This window comes from Homo sapiens, chromosome 16 (genome assembly GCF_000001405.40).
Source record: "Homo sapiens chromosome 16, GRCh38.p14 Primary Assembly".
Classification (NCBI taxonomy): domain Eukaryota; kingdom Metazoa; phylum Chordata; class Mammalia; order Primates; family Hominidae; genus Homo; species Homo sapiens.
Genome location: NC_000016.10, coordinates 602,905 through 624,613, shown reverse-complemented (window position 1 = coordinate 624,613; position 21,709 = coordinate 602,905). Strand labels below are relative to the sequence as shown.

The 21,709-nt window shown below is 55.7% G+C and overlaps 1 protein-coding gene and 1 long non-coding RNA gene across 6 annotated transcripts in view, besides 3 other annotated features; one reads left to right on the top strand and one right to left on the bottom strand.

Annotated features, from left to right (window-relative positions):
- The window catches only part of RAB40C (RAB40C, member RAS oncogene family), a 39,912-nt gene that overhangs the window by 4,655 nt on the left and 13,548 nt on the right, over positions 1-21,709 (bottom strand). For all 5 annotated transcript variants that reach the window (NM_001172663.2, NM_001172664.2, NM_021168.5 and 2 more), the window contains 2 exons: positions 7,346-7,406; positions 6,354-6,414 (listed from right to left, as the gene is read on the bottom strand). In NM_001172663.2, coding sequence (NP_001166134.1) covers positions 6,354-6,414; positions 7,346-7,406 — 122 coding nt within the window. The remainder of the gene's footprint in view (positions 1-6,353; positions 6,415-7,345; positions 7,407-21,709) is intronic.
- Positions 2,160-2,913: an enhancer, noted in NCBI's record as "H3K27ac-H3K4me1 hESC enhancer chr16:671701-672454 (GRCh37/hg19 assembly coordinates)". NCBI's record gives its function as "activates a minimal SCP1, AML or CMV promoter by ChIP-STARR-seq in primed H9 embryonic stem cells {active_cell/tissue: H9 hESC(primed)}" and the evidence as "EXISTENCE:reporter gene assay evidence [ECO:0000049][PMID:30033119]".
- LOC124903618 (uncharacterized) lies at positions 8,350-19,281 on the top strand. The gene is made up of 2 exons (XR_007064934.1): positions 8,350-13,760; positions 14,924-19,281. It is a non-coding gene; the product is annotated as an uncharacterized LOC124903618 (long non-coding RNA).
- Positions 13,218-13,347: an enhancer, noted in NCBI's record as "active region_10208". NCBI's record gives its function as "activates an Ori minimal core promoter by ATAC-STARR-seq in GM12878 lymphoblastoid cells {active_cell/tissue: GM12878}" and the evidence as "EXISTENCE:reporter gene assay evidence [ECO:0000049][PMID:35858748]".
- Positions 16,494-16,573: a silencer, noted in NCBI's record as "silent region_6927". NCBI's record gives its function as "represses an Ori minimal core promoter by ATAC-STARR-seq in GM12878 lymphoblastoid cells {active_cell/tissue: GM12878}" and the evidence as "EXISTENCE:reporter gene assay evidence [ECO:0000049][PMID:35858748]".

The window sequence follows — 21,709 nt, the reverse complement described above, 5'->3', positions numbered from 1 at the left end:
CTGAGGCTGAAAGAAGAGGGCACTGTCCATCTGAAAATTAGGGTTTTTAGAGCCTCTTAGAACCATCTTTCGATATCTGGAAGACTGAAGTGTAGCCCCAGGTCCTGTTTAGAACAAGGTTGACATTACTAAGCTCCCAGGGCGAAGGCCTTGCTCAGGATGGAGCGACAGCTCAGGAAGGACACCTCTCGCTGAGGGAGACCCTTCGAGGCCAGAGATGGCCAAGTCAGTCTGGTGGGCGATAAATGATAAGATTCAGAATAAACAAATGCACACCCAGGGGTTAACCCTGGAGGTTGGGGCACAGGGACTGGGGCTGGCTCATTTGCTGCTGGGGGAGGTGGAGAGACTGGGGAGTGGGCCACCAAAGCGTACAACACAGCCCACTCTCCCTAGTGGCAACCTCCCGCATGGCAACCTCCCGCATGGCAAGCCCACAACTCAGAAGTAACTGAGGATGTGTGTCACAGTGGCGCTGATAACAACGACAAGCCAGACACAAATTAAATGTCCAGCCTCAGGGGACAGCTGAGTAAGCGGCAGTGAAATGTACCGTGCAGATGCTGAAGACAGCAGCAGTGCATGTAAAAGCGTGCATGCTGGCCAAGGAGAGATGTGCAACCCAGGTGAGGTAAGAACGCAGGTCCCAGCACTGCGGATGGCATTTTCTTTTTTTTTGAAACAGGGTCTCACTCTGTCAGCCAGGCTGGGGTTCATGCAGTGGCACGATCATGGCTCACTGCAGCCTGATATTCTGAGCCTCAGCTTCCTGAGTGGCTGGGAATACAGGTGTGAACCACCACATCTGGCTAAGTTTTTTTAAACATTTTTTAGAGATGGGATCTTGCTATGTTGCCCAGGCTGGTCTTGAACCCCTGGCCTCAAGTGATCCTCCTGCCTCAACTTCCTAAAGTGCTGGGATCAGAGGTGTGAGCCACTGTGCCCAGCCCAGCATGATTTCTTTTTTTTTTTTTTTTGAGACGGAGTCTCACTCTGTCGCCCAGGCTGGAGTGCAGCCGCACGATCTCCGCTTCCGGGTTCACGCCATTCTCCTGCCTCAGTCTCCTGAGTAGCTGGGACTACAGGCGCCCGCCACCATGCCCGGCTAATTTTTTTGTATTTTTTTTTAGTAGAGACAGGGTTTCACCGTGTTAGCCAGGATGGTCTTGATCTCCTGACCTCCCGATCTGCCCACCTCGGCCTCCCAAAGTGCTGGGATGACAGGCGTGAGCCACCGCGCCCGGCCCAGCATGATTTTTAAAAAATAAAAGTATGAACACACAACACATTACACTGAAGAAGTTTATATGGACATAAAACAAATGCTAAAAGGCTGGAGAGGGGTAACTTTTGATGCTGACCTGTTTTCTGTGGCAAACACCCCTATTCGCATGACACTGAAAACTCTAGAAAGAGAGCAGAAGGCCCGCCTCCCGGCTGATGGGCTGCCTCAGGCTCCAAGTGTGCTGTGACGCGGGGGGCCCTGGCCACACCTCCCGGCTGCTGCCCTGAGCGGGCCCCCACTTCCTGGGATGGCCATGTCTGAGGAGTAGGGGTTACGGGCAGGGGCGATGGCACAGGAGGACCCGGAGGCTTGCTCCGGCGTGGGTCACAGTGAGGCCGCAGGGACCCAAATGACCACGGAGTGAGAAACCAAAAGGAGACTCTCGGTGACCAGCAGCCGCCTAACGAACGGCACCCTAAGCACCCTCAGCTGCGTGTCTCAAGGGGCAGAGCACGGGACAAACAGACTCTTCCACTGCCTTCTGTTTTCTAAAACTGATCTGATTTTTAAAAAACTAGCGACTTCGGCCAGGCGCCGTGGCTCACGCCTGCGATCCCAGCACTTTGGGAGGCCGAGGCAGGCGGATCACGAGGTCAAGAGATGGAGACCATCCTGGCCAACATGGTGAAACCCCGTCTCTACTAAAAATACAAAAATTAGCTGGACGCGGTGGTGCACACCTAGTTCTAGCTACTCGGGAGCCTGAGGCAGGAGAATGGCGTGAACCCGGGAGGCGGAGGTTGCAGTGAGCCGAGATCGCGCCACGGCACTCCAGCCTGGCGACAGAGCCAGACCGTGTCTCAAAAAACAAAACAAAAGAACGAGCGAGTGCTCTAGGGGATGAGTCAGGACGCGCGCTCGCCCTGCTCTAGGCCCCTCTAGGAGCCGCCCTGACAGTCAGTTTCCTCAGCGTCTACAGACGTGTCCACGGTGCCGCTCATGCCTCGCGGGCGGGGTCAAGGGGGTGGAGGCACTTGGCGCTGCTCCCACCCGCACGCCCTGAGCTCAGGCCCAGCACCCCCGCCTGCTCGTGAACTGGTACTGCGCCAGCTCTTGGGTAACGGTGGCAATATGCATCTGAGCACGTTTACACCTTTTTTTGATCAACTCGACCTACACGATAAATTCCCAGAAGTAGAACTGCTGGGCCTAAGAGTGGGTGTCCTTTTTGCTATCATTTTTTACTGAGCTGTAACTTACAAAGCACAAAATACAAAGATCCGAGGTTTGAACATTTTGATGAATTTTGACAAACACATGCCCCTTCCACCCATGTGGCTGAAGCTCCCAAGGTACAGCCAGCGAGAGTGAAGCCCTCCTCCTGCATCCCTGCACCCAGGCTCTGCCCAGGAGCAACTGACATGTAAAATGGGAGCTACTGCCAAGCCGCGCCCACTCACATCCACCCGCCCACCTGTGTGCCGACAAGCCAGCAGCACGTGTGCCTCCCGTACCACGCTCCACATAAACCCCCTCTCAGGGAAACAAATCCACACCTTTGTCCTGAAGCAGACATGGCACTTGGCCACAGCCTTCCTGGCACTAAGCCCGCTGACCCCAAATTCTCAGCTAAACAGGATGGCACATCCCGTCAGCCACACTGCAGTTACAAGGAGCCTACCCCACCCTCCACACACCAAGGGACCTGCACCTGGGTGACCCACTCATCCCACCAGCGGGTTGTGGCACCCGCTTCTGAGAGGGGCCGTCTCAGATCACAGCAACAGAATATGCAAACACGACCATGAAGTCTAGGGAGCCCGGCCTTCGGCGGCACGTGAAGGGCCTCGCGGGAAGAGCCGCGGGACTGCTGCTGTGTGACAGGTGACGGCAGCGGGGAGTGGCCGGTGGCCTTTGCTGGTGCCATCTGCAAGACCCAGGCCGCGGGGACCTTCCAGGCCTCTCCACTCTCTAACGGAGGGAGGCAGAGTGACAAATCCCGGCTGGGACAGACAGTCCTTGCTAGTCTGTGTCTCATCAGGGGCGGCGGGAGAAACCCTGCTGCAAACCTGGGCTCTGCACCTCGGCTGGATGCACCCGCACCTCACCGCTGCTCACCAGGCAGGAGAGACACAGGACAGGGCTGGGCTCCCGGGGTGGCCCAAATGCTCAGTCACGGCGGTCAGAGGCCCGCCTGGAGACTCAGGTGCTTCTCCCGGGGCAAGGAAGCACCTGGCACCCTCAACCCAGGACCAACATGTGCACCTGGGTCTGTAACCTGCTCCTCGCATGTGGAAAATGACAGCTCAGAATTTCCAGAGTTAACAAGACAAAACAAAGACATAACCAGTTGTGCCAGATGCTTTGGAAAGAACACGGAGATGATAACAGAGCTTGCTTTCCAGGACCTCAGCCTGGCAAATGCAGAGCTTATGAACTGCTTTTTTCTTTTTTAGTTCTCATGCAGCTGAACAGAAATCACGACTGTACTGGCCTCGTGTCCCACAGACCTCCCTGTGTGGGAGCTGGGATGCCTGCGGTGGAGCCCGTCGGGGGGGGTGGCTGGGATGCCCGCGGTGGAGCCCGTCGGCGGGGGGCTGGGATGCCCGCGGTGGAGCCCGTCGGCGGGGGGCTGGGATGCCCGCGGTGGAGCCCGTCGGCGGGGGGCTGGGATGCCCGCGGTGGAGCCCATCGGGGGGGGCTGGGATGCCCGCGGTGGAGCCCGTCGGGGGGGGGCTGGGATGCCCGCGGTGGAGCCCGTCGGGGGGGGCTGGGATGCCCGCAGTGGAGCCTGTCAGGTTCAGCCTCCCTGCTGCCTTTTCCAGTATCTCCCCAACAACCCTTTATTGTCATCCAACATAACTGCGCCCCATATTTTTTAATACCAAAATAGTATATGTTTATTGCAGAAAAATCACGAAATACTTAAAAGCAAAAGGAAGACAAGAAGGCATTTTTGTAGATGTAAATCACCCACACAGCTCCTCCTTTTTTTTTGAGATGGAGTTTCACTCGTCGCCCAGGTTGGCGTGCAATGGCACAATCTCGGCTCACTGCAACCTCCACCTCCTGGGTTCAAGCGATTCTCCTGCCTCAGCCTCCTAAGTAGCTGGGATTATAAGCGCCCGCCACCATGCTCGGCTAATTTTTGTATTTTTCGTAGAGATGGGGTTTCACCATGTTGGTCAGGTTGGTCTCCAACTCTTGACCTCGTGATCTGTCTGCCTTGGCCTCCCAAAGTGCTGGGATTACAGGCGTGAACCACCGCACCAGCCCCAACTCCTCTTTCAATAGCAGGCAGGGCCCATGGAATGCATCCTTGAGCCTGCCCGTCTTCCACCTGCCTGCTCCACGAATCACGGCCATGTTGCTCCAGTTCTCACAGGGATGGCACGGAGCCTGCAGGCCCTTCTGCTCCCATGAGGGAGCTGCCAACATCTCCGAGGGAACTCCCAGGACAGGGTGCGACCCAGCCCGCCCTGGCGTCCTTCCCACCCACCGCCAGCAGGTAGAAGACATCAGATCCAACACCGACTACACTTCAGTGTAGAAATGGAAGGAAATGAGCTTGCCATGGGACGAAGCTCCAGTGTCCATCCCCCTCGCACCTGGGCAGCTTCCTGCCCAGAGCGGACCCACCTGAGCCAGAAGCTGCATGGCACAGACCTGAACCTTCCCCCAAGAAGGATCCAGACCCAGACCCAGGCGGCCTCCCTGGGCCCACATGGGGGGCTCCAGGCTCACGAACTGGCCCCGGAGGGGCTCTCCTGGCTCTTCCAGAACTCTTAGGGGCATCACAGACAGGACAGACCCGCTCAAATCCCTCCCACTGAAGCAGCAACAACAGTGGCCATGACAGGTCTGTTTACATGGGCTTCACGTCCTTGCCCTCCTTCCGGCCTCACATTCGCCAGCAGATCCAGTCAGCACAAAAGCGTGCTTGGGGGCCCAGAGGAGACAGAAACGAGGGTGGCCAAGCGCACCCACCATACCTGCACACACACTGCACACATGGCCCCAGTGCCCCCGCCAGACCTGTGCACATGGCTGCACACACACATGGCCCTGAGTGCACCCACTACACCTGTGCACACACACAGCTCCAAGTACACCACACCTGCACACACACTGCACACATGGCCCCAGTGCCCCCGCCAGACCTGTGCACATGCCTGCACACACACATGGCCCTGAGTGCACCCACTACACCTGTGCACACACACAGCTCCAAGTACACCACACCTGAGCACACACTGCACACATGGCCCCAGTGCCCCCGCCAGACCTGTGCACATGCCTGCACACACACATGGCCGAGTGCACCCACTACACCTGTGCACACACACAGCTCCAAGTACACCACACCTGCACACACTGCACACATGGCCCCAGTGCGTCCGCCAGACCTGTGCAAATGCCTGCACACACATGGCCCTGAGTGCACCCACTACACCTGTGCACACACACAGCTCCAAGTACACACCTGAGCACACACTGCACACATGGCCCCAGTGCCCCCGCCAGACCTGTGCACATGCCTGCACATACACATGGCCGAGTGCACCCACTACACCTGTGCACACACACAGCTCCAAGTACACCACACCTGCACACACTGCACACATGGCCCCAGTGCGTCCGCCAGACCTGTGCACATGCCTGCACACACATGGCCCTGAGTGCACCCACTACACCTGTGCACACACACAGCTCCAAGTACACCACACCTGCGCACACACTGCACACATGGCCCCAGTGCCCCCGCCAGACCTGTGCACATGGCTGCACACACACATGGCCCTGAGTGCACCCACTACACCTGTGCACACACACAGCTCCAAGTACACCCACTGCGCCTGTACTCCCAGCTACTGGGGAGGCTGAGGCAGGAGAATCGCTTGAACCCGGGAGGGGGAGGCTGCAGTGAGCCGAGACTGTGCCACTGTACTCCAGCCTGGGTGACAGAGTGAGTCTCTGTCTCAAAACAAACAAATAAACAAACCAATGTGAGAATATCCTTATAAAGAAAGAAAGTCCTTGGGAGTTTGACAGGACAACAACTCACATTCAGAAAGAATCAGGAGAAACATCCTTTGAAAAGCAATGGAAAGAGCGGTGCTGGTCTTACCTGAGCGCCCCTGGAGTAGGACCTGAAGATGGTGCAGAACCGGCCCTGGCCCGACGTGTCCCTGAAACATACGGGGAGGGGAGGGGCCGGGACTGTGGTCCCTGTGAGAGGCTCACCTCCTTCCCTCCTCTGCCGACCCACCTGGATGTCCTGAGGGGAGCGGGGCGGCCAGGACAGGTGCCAATGAGGCTGTGCTAAGCGGCTTTGTCTGCACAGGTCACAGCAGCCTGGCGCCGTGCCGCTGAGCCAGGCAGGCAGCAGAAGGGGCCCCCGCCCACCTGGGGAGTGAGCAAGCTCCTCACATGAGCCTGGGAGCTCCAGGAGACTGTCCTGCCAGGCTGGGGAACCCCAACCCTGTGGACATTCACGTCTCATCAACGCTGACGTTCTGGGAAATGCTTTTTTTTTTTTCTTTTTTGAGACGGAGTCTCATTCTGTCACCCAGGCTGGAGTGCAGTGGTGCAATCTCAGCTCACTGCAACTTCTGCCTCCCGGGTTCAAGTGATTCTACTGCCTCAGCCTCCTGAGTGGCTGGGACTACAGGCGCCCGCCACCACACCTGGCTAATTTTTGTATTTTTAGTAGAGATGGCGTTTCACCATGTTGGCCAGGCTTGTCTTGGACTCCTGACCTCAGGTGATCCTCCTGCCTCGGCCTCCCAAAGTGCTGGGATGACAGGCGTGAGCCACCACACCCCGCTGGGAAATGCTTTTTAAGGTGAAGCCGACAGAAGGGGAGGGAAGGGGCTCACAGCCACCACGGAATCAGGTTTTCCGGGGCAGGAGGGGAGCCGCGATCTCTAGGGACACAGTGTCCCAGACTGTCTTTTTCCTGTTGGAGTAAAATCCATTCTATGTTTAAACAGGGGCTGTGTAAGTGGCTCTTCCAAGTGAAATGCAAACAGGACGCCTTCCTGTTTCTCTAAGGGTTCTGTTCTCCCTTCGGCATTTGTGTCCTCACCCAGGAACTGAAGTGCCGCAGCCCCAACTCACCAGAGCTCCAGCTTCACGCGCCGGCCGTCCAGCAGGATGGTGGTGGTCTTGTAGTCGATCCCTGCGAGGAAGCACAGGGCGCTGAGGGGACGCGCCACTCCTGGAGCGAGCGCCCGCGAGACCAGCCTCGGCCACTGGCCTCCCAGGGCCAAGACCCACGCGGAAGTGGAGAAGCAGCTCCCCCACACTCAGCCAGTGGGGCAGGGGGAAATCTCGGGGCTCTGGCCCAGCAACCCAGGCCTGCCCACTTCTGCACACGGGCCACGGGCAGGGCGGGGCAGGGCAGGGCAGGAGCGTGGTCCATACAGTGTCAGGCCATCGGGCCCCACAGCCTAGCAGGCCAGCCTCTCCATGGGCACGGCTTGCCTGGAATGGGGCCTCCGCCTGTGGCCCGCGCTGGGTGCAAGGCACAGGGCCTCTCCCTCAGAGGGCATTGGGCAAAGGCAGGGCGTGGACTCCAGCGTGCCTGGAGAAAGGGCAGTGCCTTTATTTCCACCCTGACCTACTTCGTATGCATTTTGAAGTTGAATTCTCCAAGGCGAATGTATTTCCAAGTCTCGGCTTACTGCAGCCCAGGAACTGCCAAGGTTGGTGTTAGGGAGGGCCAAACAAGTTTAAAAATGCTGCTTCTGGCCGGGCGCGGTGGCTCACGCCTGTAATCCCAGCACTTTGGGAGGCCGAGGCGGGCGGATCATGAGGTCGGGAGTTTGAGAGCAGCCTGACCAACACAGTGAAACCCCGTCTCTACTAAAAATACAAAAAATTAGCCAGGTGTGGTGGTGGGCACCTTTAATCCCAGCTACTCGGGAGGCTGAGGCAGGAGAATCACTTGAAGCTGGGAGGTGGAGGTTGCAGTGAGCCGAGATCATGTCACTGCACTCCTGCCTGGGTGACAGTACTCAATAAATAAATAAATAAATAAATAAATAAATAAAATGCTGCTTCTCCGGACTCTGGACTGACCTCAGACAGCCACCAGCCTGCCTGCCACATTGGTATTTTTTTTTTTTTTTGAGACAGAGTCTTGCTCAGTCACCCAGGCTGGAGTGCAGTGGTGCGATCTCTGCTCACTGCAAGCTCCGTCTCCCGGGTTCACGCCATTATCTAGCCTCAGCCTGCTGAGTAGCTGAACTACAGGCGCCCGCCACCATGCCCGGATAATTTTTTGTATTTTTAGTAGAGGTGGGGTTTCACCGTGTTAGCCAGGATGGTCTCGATCTCCTGACCTCATGATCCACCCGCCTCAGCCTCCCAAAGTGCTAGGATTACAGGCGTGAGCCACTGCACCCGGCCTTTTTTTCTTTTTTGAGATGGAGTCTCACTCTGTCGCCCAGGCTGCAGTGCAGTGCCACAATCTCGGGTCACTACAACCTCCACCTCCCGGGTTCAAGCGATTCTCCTGCCTCAGCCTCCCAAGTAGCTGGGATTACAGGTGCCCACCACCACAGCCGGCTAATTTTTATAATTTTAGTAGAGACGGGGTTTTGCCACGTTGGCTAAGCTGGTCACAAATTCCTGACCTCAGGTGATTCGCCCGCCTTGGCCTCCCAAAGTGCTGGGATTACAGGTGTGAGCCACCGTGCCCGGCCCACATCACATCATTACTTTTTATTTCCTTACAGTTTTATAGGAAAAGGTCAGTCCAAGAGAAACTGAAAGGAGCAGACAGTTCTGGACACTTAACGCAGGCACGACATCTTAAACAGGCTCTGGGCCCTCTGGAAACTTTCCAGAAGCTTCTACCTTTAGGGCTCAGCCCCTTCCCCCACCTTAGAAACACCATTCACGTTTTGTCTTTTTATGACACTTTCTCCAAGGGGCTTGGAAACGGGCACTTTTTAAACATAAGCGACGCCCTCCCACGGAGTGCACCTGCCCAGTGGGCTTGTGTGTGTGTCTGTGCACATCTGTCTCTCCGTGCGGGCCCAGCCCTGCAAGCCAGCCATGCGGTCTCTCTGCCTACGGTGCCCTTCTTCAGGCATCAGCGCTTCCACCCACACCGTCCTTCTGCCTGACCAACCCCTACATGTACATCAAAGGCTGTTCTCATGCATCGAAGGACACCATCAATGGACAGAAAAATGCAACCCAGAGATGGAGGGAAATGTCTGCAGATCACACGTCTCCTAGAGACTGATCTCTAGACTCTACAAATAACTCCAACTCAACAACAGAAAACCAAACGTCCCAATTTTAGGATGGACGGATGGTCTCCCTCGGGTCCTCGTTTCCAAGACAAGAAGGAACAATGGTTGTGCCAAAAGGGCCACGGCTGTGAGCAGCCCATGACTGCAGGAGCTGCACCCAATGTGTACCCAGGGACAACGCCATTAAGCAGTTCATCAGGATGCGGTAGAGTTAGGCAGTTCACTATCGGGACGAGGTAAAGTTTGGCAGTTCACCATCGGGATGCGGCTGAGTTAGCAGTTCACCACTGGGACGAGGTAGAGTTTGGCAGTTCACCGTCGGGACGAGGTAGAGTTTGGCAGTTCACCGTCGGGATGCGGCAGAGTTAGCAGTTCACCATCAGGATGTGGTAGAGTTAGGCAGTTCACCATTGGGACGAGGTAGAGTTAGGCAGTTCACCATCGGGACGAGGTAAAGTTTGGCAGTTCACCATCGGGATACGGCAGAGTTAGCAGTTCACCATCGGGATGTGGTAGAGTTAGGCAGTTCACCATCGGGATGCGGTAGAGTTAGGCAGTTCACCATCGGGACGAGGTTTAGGCAGTTCACCATCGGGACGAGGTAAAGTTTGGCAGTTCACCATCGGGATGCGGCAGAGTTAGCAGTTCACCATCGGGATGTGGTAGAGTTAGGCAGTTCACCATCGGGATGCGGTAGAGTTAGGCAGTTCACCATCGGGACGAGGTTTAGGCAGTTCACCATCGGGACGAGGTAAAGTTTGGCAGTTCACCATCGGGATGCGGCAGAGTTAGCAGTTCACCATCGGGATGTGGCAGAGTTAGCAGTTCACCATCGGGATGTGGTAGAGTTAGGCAGTTCACCATCGGGACGAGGTAGAGTTAGGCAGTTCACCATCGGGATGCGGCAGAGTTAGCAGTTCACCATAGGGATGCGGTAGAGTTCGGCAGTTCACCATCGGGATGCGGTAGTTAGCAGTTCACCATCGGGATGCGGTAGAGTTTGGCAGTTCACCATCGGGATGCGGTAGAGTTCGGCAGTTCACCATCGGGATACGGCAGAGTTAGCAGTTCACCATCGGGACGCGGTAGAGTTAGGCAGTTCACCATCTGGATGCAGTAGAGGCCGCAGCCTTGCAGACATTTTGGAAGCATCTGCGCCGACTGTGTGCTTCCCGAGCTGCGTGTGAAGCTGCGTCACTGCCCCAGTGGTGCCCTTCACAGCAAGCCAGTCAGGAATCCTGCTCCTCAAGTCCAGGGCTATGCACGTCACCCAAGTCTAGACCTGGGTGCTGCCCACGACCCCCACCAAGGCCCCAAGACCATGCATTCCACCTGGGTCTAGACCTGGGTGTTGCCCACGACTCCCACTAAGACCCACATAAGGAGCTGAGTCCTTAAGGACTAAAGACAAACTATCCTCTGGGGAAAAAAATACGGAAATTATACTTTAAAAAAAGGGCAAAGGACTTGAATAGACATTTCCCCAAAGAAGAAAAACCGACGACCAAGAAGCAGTGAAAAGGCATTCCACATCATCGTTCAGCAGAGAAACCCATCCAAGCCACCACCGCACCACGATCCAGCCTCGCAGAAAAGGGCAACTGGCAGCAAGTGCCAGCCGGCGTGCAGAAGCCAGGCCCTCCATCCGCTGAGTGTGCTGCGTGCTGCTGCACTGTGCTCTTGATTCTACCGGCCAGGGCGGCAGTCCTGCTCTTGATTCTACAGGCGAGGGCGGCAGTCCCTGCTCTTCAATCTAAAGACGAGGGCAGCTGTCCCCTGCTCTTGATTCTACAGGCGAGGGCGGCTGTCCCTGCTCTTGATTCTACAAGCAAGGGCAGCTGTCCCTGCTCTTGATGCTACAGGCCAGGGCGGCTGTCCCTGCTCTTGATGCTACAGGCCAGGGCGGCTGTCCCTGCTGATTCTACAGGTGAGGGCGGCTGTCCCTGCTCTTGATTCTACAGGCCAGGGCGGCTGTCCCTGCTCTTGATTCTACAGGCCAGGGCGGCTGTCCCTTGCTCTTGATTCTACAGGCCAGGGCGGCTGTCCCTTGCTCTTGATGCTACAGGCCAGGGCGGCTGTCCCTGCTCTTGATTCTACAGGCAAAGGCGGCTGTCCCTTGCTCTTGATTCTACAGGCCAGGGCGGCTGTCCCTGCTCTTGATTCTACAGGCCAGGGCGGCTGTCCCGTGCTCTTGATTCTACAGGCCAGGGCGGCTGTCCCGTGCTCTTGATTCTACAGGCCAGGGCGGCTGTCCCTGCTCTTGATTCTACAGGCGAAGGCGGCTGTCCCTTGCTCTTGATTCTACAGGCCAGGGCGGCTGTCCCTGCTCTTGATTCTACAGGCCAGGGCGGCTGTCCCTGCTCTTGATTCTACAGGCCAGGGCGGCTGTCCCTGCTCTTGATTCTACAGGCCAGGGCGGCTGTCCCTTGCTCTTGATGCTACAGGCCAGGGCAGCTGTCCCTGCTCTTGATTCTACAGGCAAAGGCGGCTGTCCCTTGCTCTTGATTCTACAGGCCAGGGCGGCTGTCCCTGCTCTTGATTCTACAGGCCAGGGCGGCTGTCCCGTGCTCTTGATTCTACAGGCCAGGGCGGCTGTCCCGTGCTCTTGATTCTACAGGCCAGGGCGGCTGTCCCGTGCTCTTGATTCTACAGGCCAGGGCGGCTGTCCCTGCTCTTGATTCTACAGGCGAAGGCGGCTGTCCCTTGCTCTTGATTCTACAGGCCAGGGCGGCTGTCCCTGCTCTTGAATCTACAGGCCAGGGCGGCTGTCCCTGCTCTTGATTCTACAGGCCAGGGCGGCTGTCCCTGCTCTTGATTCTACAGGCCAGGGCGGCTGTCCCTGCTCTTGATTCTACAGGCCAGGGCGGCTGTCCCTGCTCTTGATTCTACAGGCCAGGGCGGCTGTCCCTGCTCTTGATTCTACAGGCCAGGGCGGCTGTCCCTGCTCTTGATTCTACAGGCCAGGGCGGCTGTCCCTGCTCTTGATTCTACAGGCCAGGGCGGCTGTCCCTGCTCTTGATTCTACAGGCCAGGGCGGCTGTCCCTTGCTCTTGATGCTACAGGCCAGGGCGGCTGTCCCTGCTCTTGATTCTACAGGCAAAGGCGGCTGTCCCTTGCTCTTGATTCTACAGGCCAGGGCGGCTGTCCCTTGCTCTTGATTCTACAGGCCAGGGCGGCTGTCCCTGCTCTTGATTCTACAGGCCAGGGCGGCTGTCCCGTGCTCTTGATTCTACAGGCCAGGGCGGCTGTCCCGTGCTCTTGATTCTACAGGCCAGGGCGGCTGTCCCTGCTCTTGATTCTACAGGCGAAGGCGGCTGTCCCTTGCTCTTGATTCTACAGGCCAGGGCGGCTGTCCCTGCTCTTGAATCTACAGGCCAGGGCGGCTGTCCCTGCTCTTGATTCTACAGGCCAGGGCGGCTGTCCCTGCTCTTGATTCTACAGGCCAGGGCGGCTGTCTCTGCTCTTGATTCTACAGGCCAGGGCGGCTGTCCCTGCTCTTGATTCTACAGGCCAGGGCGGCTGTCCCGTGCACACTCACAAGTGAAACAACACTCTTCAGGGAGGCACCGCGCTCAGGCCGTCAACACCCTTCCCGCACCTCCCTCCTCCGGTGGTTCTGTCAAGCAGGGACACAGGGACGGAGGGGCCTTGGTCATTTTGGTCCTGGCTGTTGAAGCCCCCATGAGGCTGACCTGAGAGGCCAAAGTTGGACACCACGATTGCCACAAAGGCCATAGCTGCTTCTCCTTGACGGTCACCTCGACGTGCCAATGTGGCCAAGCAGGCAGGCGCCAGCAACACCCACAAGACAGATGCTGATGGCCCGGGGACTCCCCTAGGCCACCCCTAGATGGCGCCATGGCCCAGGGCCACCAGGAGCCATGGCTGCTGCAAAAGGAACGGGGATGCCGGGAAAAGCCTGGGGACCACGTCACCCACCCACAGAGCCGGGGCCTCTAGAGCACCTTGCTCTTGAATCAGAGGCTGCTCTGGGATGCTCCTCCCGCTGGACGTCTGCGTCCCACCCATCCTGCAGGCTCCGCACCCGGTTGCCCACGGTGCGCGTCAGAACAGGATTCTCAGCAACAGTGAAGAGGAAAAGTGTAAGAAGACTATGAAACAACGTCCCCATGGATACCATTTAGACACAAACAGCGGCCTGTTCTCTAAGCACAGTCAGCCGAGTGTCTTGTTCCCAGCAAGCCACAGCCACTGACCACATGGAGCCCTCTGACCACACAGGGCCCCAGGATGTCACTCTGGAAAAGGTCTGGACTCTCAGAGGGACAGGTGTCAGGATCCTGGGGAGGGGGCCCTTGGCCTGGAAGGTCTCAATTATCCAGGCAGGGTCAGGGCAAGCAGGTGACGGGGTGGGGCAGGGCGGGGTAGAGGGAGGAGCTCCTGGAGGCACAGAGCAGTGACCCAGGAGAGGCCTGGAGCCCGCGCTGGGGGACGGCGCAGGGGCAGGGGCAGTGGGCTCCGGCTGCAGAGCTCAACACTACCCCATAAGGGGGTCCCTAGGCATCAGCTGTGACATATTCTCTTGGTGTGCTGTTCATTTTTACCTCCTGTTGAAATGTCTTTTCAAAAATAAGCTAAGCTAATACCCGGCTCAGTGAAAAGGCAAGGGCGCCAGTGAAGGTCAGCTGCTCCGTGCAGGCCCACTGAGGCCTCACGCAGCACCAGCAACTCCTGCCACCCTTCCCCCTGCTCTCCTCCTCATCTGCTGGGTGCCACAGGCCTTGCTCACCACCTCAGGTTTACTGTTCCCAATAACCCTCTTGTTCATCTAGCCCCAGCCAGGCGCTGCCTCTCAGCCGACCTGAACACAACCCCATGAGACACACGGCACTGTCCTGGTCAGAGCCGCTCCACAGGACAGGCGCTCTGACCTCAGGGGACAGAGGCAGGGAGGTCAGAACACCTGTCCTGCCACCAGAGCAAAGCCACCGGCGCCTCGGCTGCTGGTTCTGTCTACCGCACAGGGTGCCGCTTCCCCACCAGCTACAGGAGACCAAGTCTCAGCAAGCGGACTCCCAGCTGGGCTGGTATGAGGCTACATCTGGCCCTGGCCTGGCACCCGAGCCACCAGGCTGGTGCCGTTCACATCCCCACCCTCCCGTGGGACCCATTCTGTTTCCTAAAACCTTTTAAGGCATGGTCTTTGACCACATTGCTCTGGGTGGTCTTTTTCGTACTCTGTGGCCCTTGCAGTCTGGAGACACATCCTGACGTGCCTCAGCTCCCCCCTCCAGGCACACAGCTCCCGCCCTCCATCCTGAGCCGCGCCAGCCAGGGTGACCTCTGCAGGGACTGCCCAGTTGTTTTTTAATCTCTTTTTGTTCTATTTTCTGGGAGATGTCCTCAACTTTCTTTTCTAGCCCTTCTATGGCTTTTTTAAAATGTGCTGCTTATTTATAATTTCTAAAAGCTCCTTCCGGTGCTCTGAGCGTTCCCCTCTGGCAGCGTCTGGCTCTTCATTCGTGGATGCGGTATCTCTGATGACGCCAATGGTAAGATGTCCTTCCCTGAGCTCTTTTCCTGCCTGTCTGGGTCTTTCCTCACATTCTGGTGACCCTCAAGGACAGACCCTAGCCAGGAAGCTGGTGACTCTGGCTTCTAAGTTGGGGCTCTCGGCGGCGTCTCGTGGCCGCTTCTTTTGGGCTGACGGTTATCCTGCCATCATCCTGCCACGGGCTCCCATCTGCATATCAGGAGGCCCTGAGTTCCCAGGCAAGGAGGGGCTTGCTCAGGCCACCCTGTCCCCTGCCACCCTGTCCCCCACCATCCCCAGTGGTGTCTGCTGTCCACGACTCAATTTTCCCAGAGAATAAACCTCCTGTGCTCCCTGCTGGGAACCACACCAGGCACTGCCCTGACCTCCCCTTCCCCTCACATGGCATTCCAAGCAGATCGCATGGCCCCTCACCCAGCCGTGGCAGCACCGCTGTTCCCAAACCATCAAACCTCTCTCACCTATCAGTCCACGTTTTTATTTTTATTTTTTGAGAAGGTGTCTCGTTCTGTCACCCAGGCTGGAGTGCAGTGGTGAGGCCAAGGCTCACTGCAGCCTCCAACTCCTAGGCTCACGTGCTCCTCATAGCTCAGCCTCCTGAGTAGCTGGGACTACAGGTGTGCACCACCACACCTGGCTAATTTTGTATCTTTTGTACAGTCAGGGGTCTCGCTGTGTTGCCCAGGCTGGTCTTGAGCTCCTGAGCTCAAGCAATCTGCCCACCTTGACCTCCCAAAGTGCTGGGATGACAGGTATGAGCCGCCACACAATTGTAGCACAATCTTGGCTCATGGCAACCTCCACCTTCTGGGTTCAAGTGATTCTTGTGCCTCTGCCTCCCAAGGAGTGGGGACTACAGGTGCCCGCCACCATGCCCAGCTAATTTTTTTTGCATTTTTTGTAGAGATGGGGTTTCACCATGTTGGCTAGGCTTGTCTTGAACTCCTGACCTCAAGTGATCTGCCTGCCTCGGCCTCCTAAAGTGCTGGGATTACAGGCGTGAGCCACCATGGCCAGCCGAGTTTCATTCTTTTCAGGATGGTAAAGGGAATGCCACAACCATTTGTCTAGAAGGGGCCTGGGTCTGATGGCGCTGAGGGCCACAGATTGGCAGCCTGAAGCCAGCATCCTGGGCCTCCCAGGTTTGGCACAGCACCTAGCCCTTCAGGATCAAAAAAGGACAGAGGACGAGGTGGGAGCTAAGCAGGCTCAGGAGTGATAAGATTTGGCTGTGTCCCCGCCCAAATCTCACCTTGACTAATCCCCACAGGTTGAGGGCGGGGCCAGATGGAGATAATTAAATCATGGGGGTGGTTCCCCCCTGCTGTTTTTGTGCGGGTGAGTGAGTTCTCCCGACACCTGATGGTTTTAGGAGGGGCTTCCCCCTTCACTCAGCACTCATTCTCTCTGGAGCTGCCCTGTGTGAGGTACCTTCCGCCATGACTGTAAATTTCCTGAGGCCTCTGCAGCCATGCGGAACTGTGAGTCAATTAAACCTCTTTTCTTTACAAATGACCCAGTCTGGGGTATTTCTTCCTAGCAGCGTGAGAACAGGTGAGTACATGGGCGTGGAGGCTGCCCAGGAACGTGTGGAGGGAGGTGGGGACGGGCACAGCACGTTGCCTGGCTGCAGACTCAGGCACCCTTCAGAGGGGGTCTCACAGCATCAATCTGAAAACGGGCAGTGGAGGGGGAGGAAGGGGTCTGAAAATGTCACTGAGGCGTTTGCTTTACTAGGTGCGACTTCGTTTTCTTTTCTTTTTCTTTTTTGTCTGCTTTACCAGATGCGACTTTCTTTTCTTTTCTTTTCGTTTTTGAGACGGAGTCTTGCTCTGTCGCCCAGGCTGGAGTGCAGTGGCGCGATCTCGGCTCACTGCAAGCTCCGCCTTCTGGGTTCATGCCATTCTCCTGCCTCAGCCTCCCGAGTAGCTGGGACTACAGGCGCCCACCACCGCGCCTGCCTAATTTTTTGTATTTTTGGTAGAGACGGGGTTTCACCGTGGTCTCCATCTCCTGACCTTGTGATCCGCCCGCCTAGGCCTCCCAAAGTGCTGCGATTACAGGCGTGAGCCACCGCGCCCGGCCCCCCGTTTTTTTTTTTTTTTGAGACAGTTTCACTCTCGTTGTCCAGGCCGGAGTGTGGTGGCGCAATATCAGCTCACTGCAACCTCTACCTCCCATGTTCAAGTGATTCTCCTGCCTCAGCCTCCCGAGTAGCTGGGATTACAGGCACCCACCACCATGCCCAACTAATTTTTTTTTTTGTATTTTTAGTAGAGATGGGGTTTCACCATGTTGGCCAGGCTGGTCTCAAACTCCTGACCTCAGGTTATCCACCCACCTCGGCCTCCCAAAGCGCTGGGATGACAGGGTTGAGCCACCGTGCCCAGGCGACTTTGTTTTCAACAGTCATCAACGTGCTGGTGGTCTGGGGAGTGGACGTGGCACCTGTGCCCCTGCCCATGGAGGCCAATCTGCCCAGGGACTGTCAGCAGAGTTGCTGTAAGGCAGCCGAGGGAGGCTGGCTGCTGAGCCTGCGTAGCACCCTCGGCTCGGAAGTGGGACCCTCGGCCACCTGAGTGGAGGTTCCTTGGCTCAGGTGGTAGTCTGTCTGTCTGGGCCGGCCTGCCACCAGCAGCCATGTTCCTGCAGGGCACAGTGCAGGGGCTGTTTGCTGCTGAGTTGCTAGCATGGGACTCTGCAGACAGGATTAAGGTGCACGGATCTCGAGGTGGGAGATTATCCGGGATTATCTGGGTGGGGCCAATTAACTACATAAGTCCTTAACCGCCTTTCCTGGCTGAGCTACAGATGAGACAGAAGGAGAGTCAAAGCATGAGAGGGACTTCACCCGCCAGTGCTGGCTCTGCAGATGGGCAAGGGCCCTCCGTGAACAACGCAGGCGGCCTGGAGAAGCCGGGAAAGGCTCGGCTTGCACCCAGCAAGGTGCTACTGCCAGTCCTACCACCAGCAAGAACGGAATTCTGCCAACCTCCCAACGAGCAAGAGAACATCTTCCTGTAGGGCCTGCAAAAAGCAAAGCCCTGGCCAACACCTTGACTTCAGCCCAGGGAAACCCACACTGGACTGAGGACCGAGAGGACTGTGTGTCAGCCAACACCTTGACTTCAGCTCAGGGAAACCCACACTGGACTGAGGACCGAGAGGACTGCGTGTCAGCCAACACCTTGACTTCAGCCCAGGGAAACCCACACTGGACTGAGGACCGAGAGGACTGCGTGTCAGCCAACACCTTGACTTCAGCCCAGGGAAACCCACACTGGACTGAGGACCGAGAGGACTGTGTGTCAGCCAACACCTTGACTTCAGCCCAGGGAAACCCACACTGGACTGAGGACCGAGAGGACTGTGTGTCAGCCAACACCTTGACTTCAGCCCAGGGAAACCCACACTGGACTGAGGACCGAGAGGACTGTGTGTCAGCCAACACCTTGACTTCAGCCCAGGGAAACCCACACTGGACTGAGGACCGAGAGGACTATGTGTCAGCAATAACAGAAAAGGAGTAGAAAGGCCATCTATTGCGGCCCTGTATTTATTATAAATAAACTGAATCCAAACTAAAAATCCACCCACTGGGGAATGGTTACTGACAGAATAGAAATGTTCTATGGCTATTACAAAGAAACAAGCTTGCAGCCATCAGCATGGCTAAAAGGAAGGCAGGACTTAGAACAAACAGGACTCTCCCTCTCTCCTGTGGGACAGAAACTGTGTGACTGCTTTGGAGAACGGGTTGGCAGCATCTACACAGGCCCTACAGCCCAGCTTCCACTCCTCAGTACGTCCCAACAGCAATGGGCACCTGTGTTGACCAAACGCGTCTGAGACTCCTCACAGGAGCCCTGTGAGAGTCACCCAACATGGAAACCATCCCAAAGCCCATCTGGAGTGGAGCCAATGCACTGCAGCCTTGACACACGGGAGACCACTCGGCGCGGGGAAGGAGGGAGCAACTGCACTCAACCACGTGGCCGAAGCTCACCCAGAAGACATGGAAAGAAGGCAGCCGGACACAGGAGAGTTTGCCCTGTGTGGCTCCATTGACGTGAAAACTAGACAAGGCAGATGAGTCCACAGTGACATGCCAGGCCGGGGGCAGAGTGTGAGAGGCCTGCAGAGGGCGAGGCTGCGAGGGCTGATGCTTTCTCAGGCCGGCATGCCTGTCCGCACTCACTGTATTGCAGACTTTAAAGGGGTTTTTTTGTACACAAATTACACCTCAATAAAGCTGATTAATTAAAAGACGGAAAGCTGACAACATCAAATGTTGGCAAAGATGTGGAGCACCTGGAACTCTCATGCATTGCTGATGGGACTATGAAACAATGGGGCTGCTTGAGCAAACAGTTTTCTCTTTTGAGATCAGGTCTCACTGTGCTGCTCAGGCTGGAGTGCAGCGGAACAATCACGGCTCGCTGCAGCCTCCAACTCCAGGGCTCACACGATCCTCCTGCCTCAGCCTCCTGAGTAGCTAAGACTATTACAAGTGTGCGTCACCACACCAGGCTAATTTATTTATTTTTTTGAGACAAAGTCTCACTCTGTCGCCCAGGCTGGAGTGCAGTGGCATGATCTCAGCTCACTCCAACCTCCGCCTCCCGGGTTCAAGTGATTGTCCTGCCTCAGCCTCCCAAGTAACTGGGACCACAAGCACCACCACCACACCAGGCTAACTTTGTATTTTTAGTAGAGATACGGTTTCACCATGTTGGCCAGGCTGGTCTCAAACTCCTGACCTCAAGTGATCTGCCTGCCTCGGCCTCCCAAAGTGCTGAGACTACAGGCATGAGCCACCACACCCAGCCCCAGGCTAATTTTTCAATATGTTTATAGCAACGAGTTCTCACTATGTTGCCCAGGCTGGGCAAGCTTATAAATTAAAACGTACACTCATATATGACAGCAATTCCACTCTTAGATCTACCTAAGGGAACAGAAACACCTTCAGAAAGACTCACATATATTCTAGAGAAACACCTTCAGAAGGACTCACGTGTATTCTAGAGAAACACCTTCAGAAAGACTCACATATATTCTAGAGAAACACCTTCAGAAAGACTCACGTGTATTCTAGAGAAACACCCTCAGAAGGACTCACGTGTATTCTAGAGAAACACCTTCAGAAGGACTCACATATATTCTAGAGAAACACCTTCAGAAGGACTCGTGTATTCTAGAGAAACACCTTCAGAAGGATTCACGTGTATTCTAGAGAAACACCTTCAGAAGGCCTCGTGCGTATTTGTGTTATAGTTTAGTGCTAGTGCCACTGAACTGTATCCCTACATATGGCTAAAATGACGTGTTTTCTGTATTTTACAAGAAAAATAATTAAAAAAAAAAATTTAAAAGAACTAGCTCTGAGCCGGGTGTGGTGGTACATGCCTGTAGTCCCAGCTGCTAGGGAGCTGCTAGGTGGGAGGATCAGTTGAGCCCAAGAGGTAGAGGCTGCAGTGAGCTGAGATCATACCACTGCACTCCAGCTGGGGCAACAGAACGAGAGTCTCAAAAAAAAAAAAAAGAAAAAGAAAAAAGAAGAACTCGTTCACATCAGCATTATTCGTAATACCCCAAACCAGGAAATAACCCAAATGTGCATCAACAAGGTAAATGCATAAACAAACTGGGGTATATTTGTGCAAAGGAATACCACTTGGGAACAAAAAAAGAAGAATCTACTATTGTACATCATGAATAAGTTTCAAAACTGCTGAGCAAAAGAAACCAGGGTCTGCTTCGTATCCATGATGTCTGGAACAGGAAAAAGCAGCCCATGTGATGGAAGCCGACTGCTGGGGGCTGGGGGCTGACTCGGCAGGGCCTGAGGGGCTTTCTGGGAGGAGAGTGGATGTGCTCCTGATTTGGATGAGGGTACTGGCTGCATAGGTACATATATGTGCCAAAACTCATAGAACTGTACATGCAAAGAGGGTACATTTATTAAATAGACATCATCTCTCAATAAAATTGATTTAAAAAAATTAAACCCACAGGGCATTGATCTGCTTTGAATTTGGAGGTCTAAGGATTAGGGGACCGGATTACCCTACAAGACAGCCTGAACACATATCAGAGCCAGATGTGAAGGCACTGCCTGTCCCTGAAGACCTGGGGCTCTAAGTCATTCACGTGCGGGGCCGGCGCTCCGCATTCAATCTTCCGGCATACCACTCCCCTCGGATGTCTTCTGAGACAAGGACAGCCCACGTCCACCAACCCCACTGCAGGCAAACCGGCGCCTGCCTGATGGAGGACAGTAAAGGAAGGAAAAGTTATCTAACAAATTTCAAATGTGTCTGTGTACACCAGCATGCCAAATGTCAGAAGAAATTCTAGGGCAGTTTGTGGACTGGTTTCCTGCGAAGCTAGAGCTTTTACTTAACGCCTTAAAACCCACAACAAGCCAAAAGGGCTCTCGTGTCTACAAAGAGCAGGCACACTTGGCACAGAACACCTGGCTAAACACAGAACATTAAGAAAACAAAAAACACAGGTCTGGCCCCAGCTACTCAGGAGGCTGAGGCAGGAGGATTGCTTCAGCGCCACGGTTCAAGACCAGCCTGGGCAACACAGTGAGACCCTATCTCTTAAAATTCTCCTCTCCCATCTTTTAAGGAGCAGATCCCATAGCTCTCAGATTACTTTCAATGATTACAAATCCAGCTTAGTGTGGCTTAA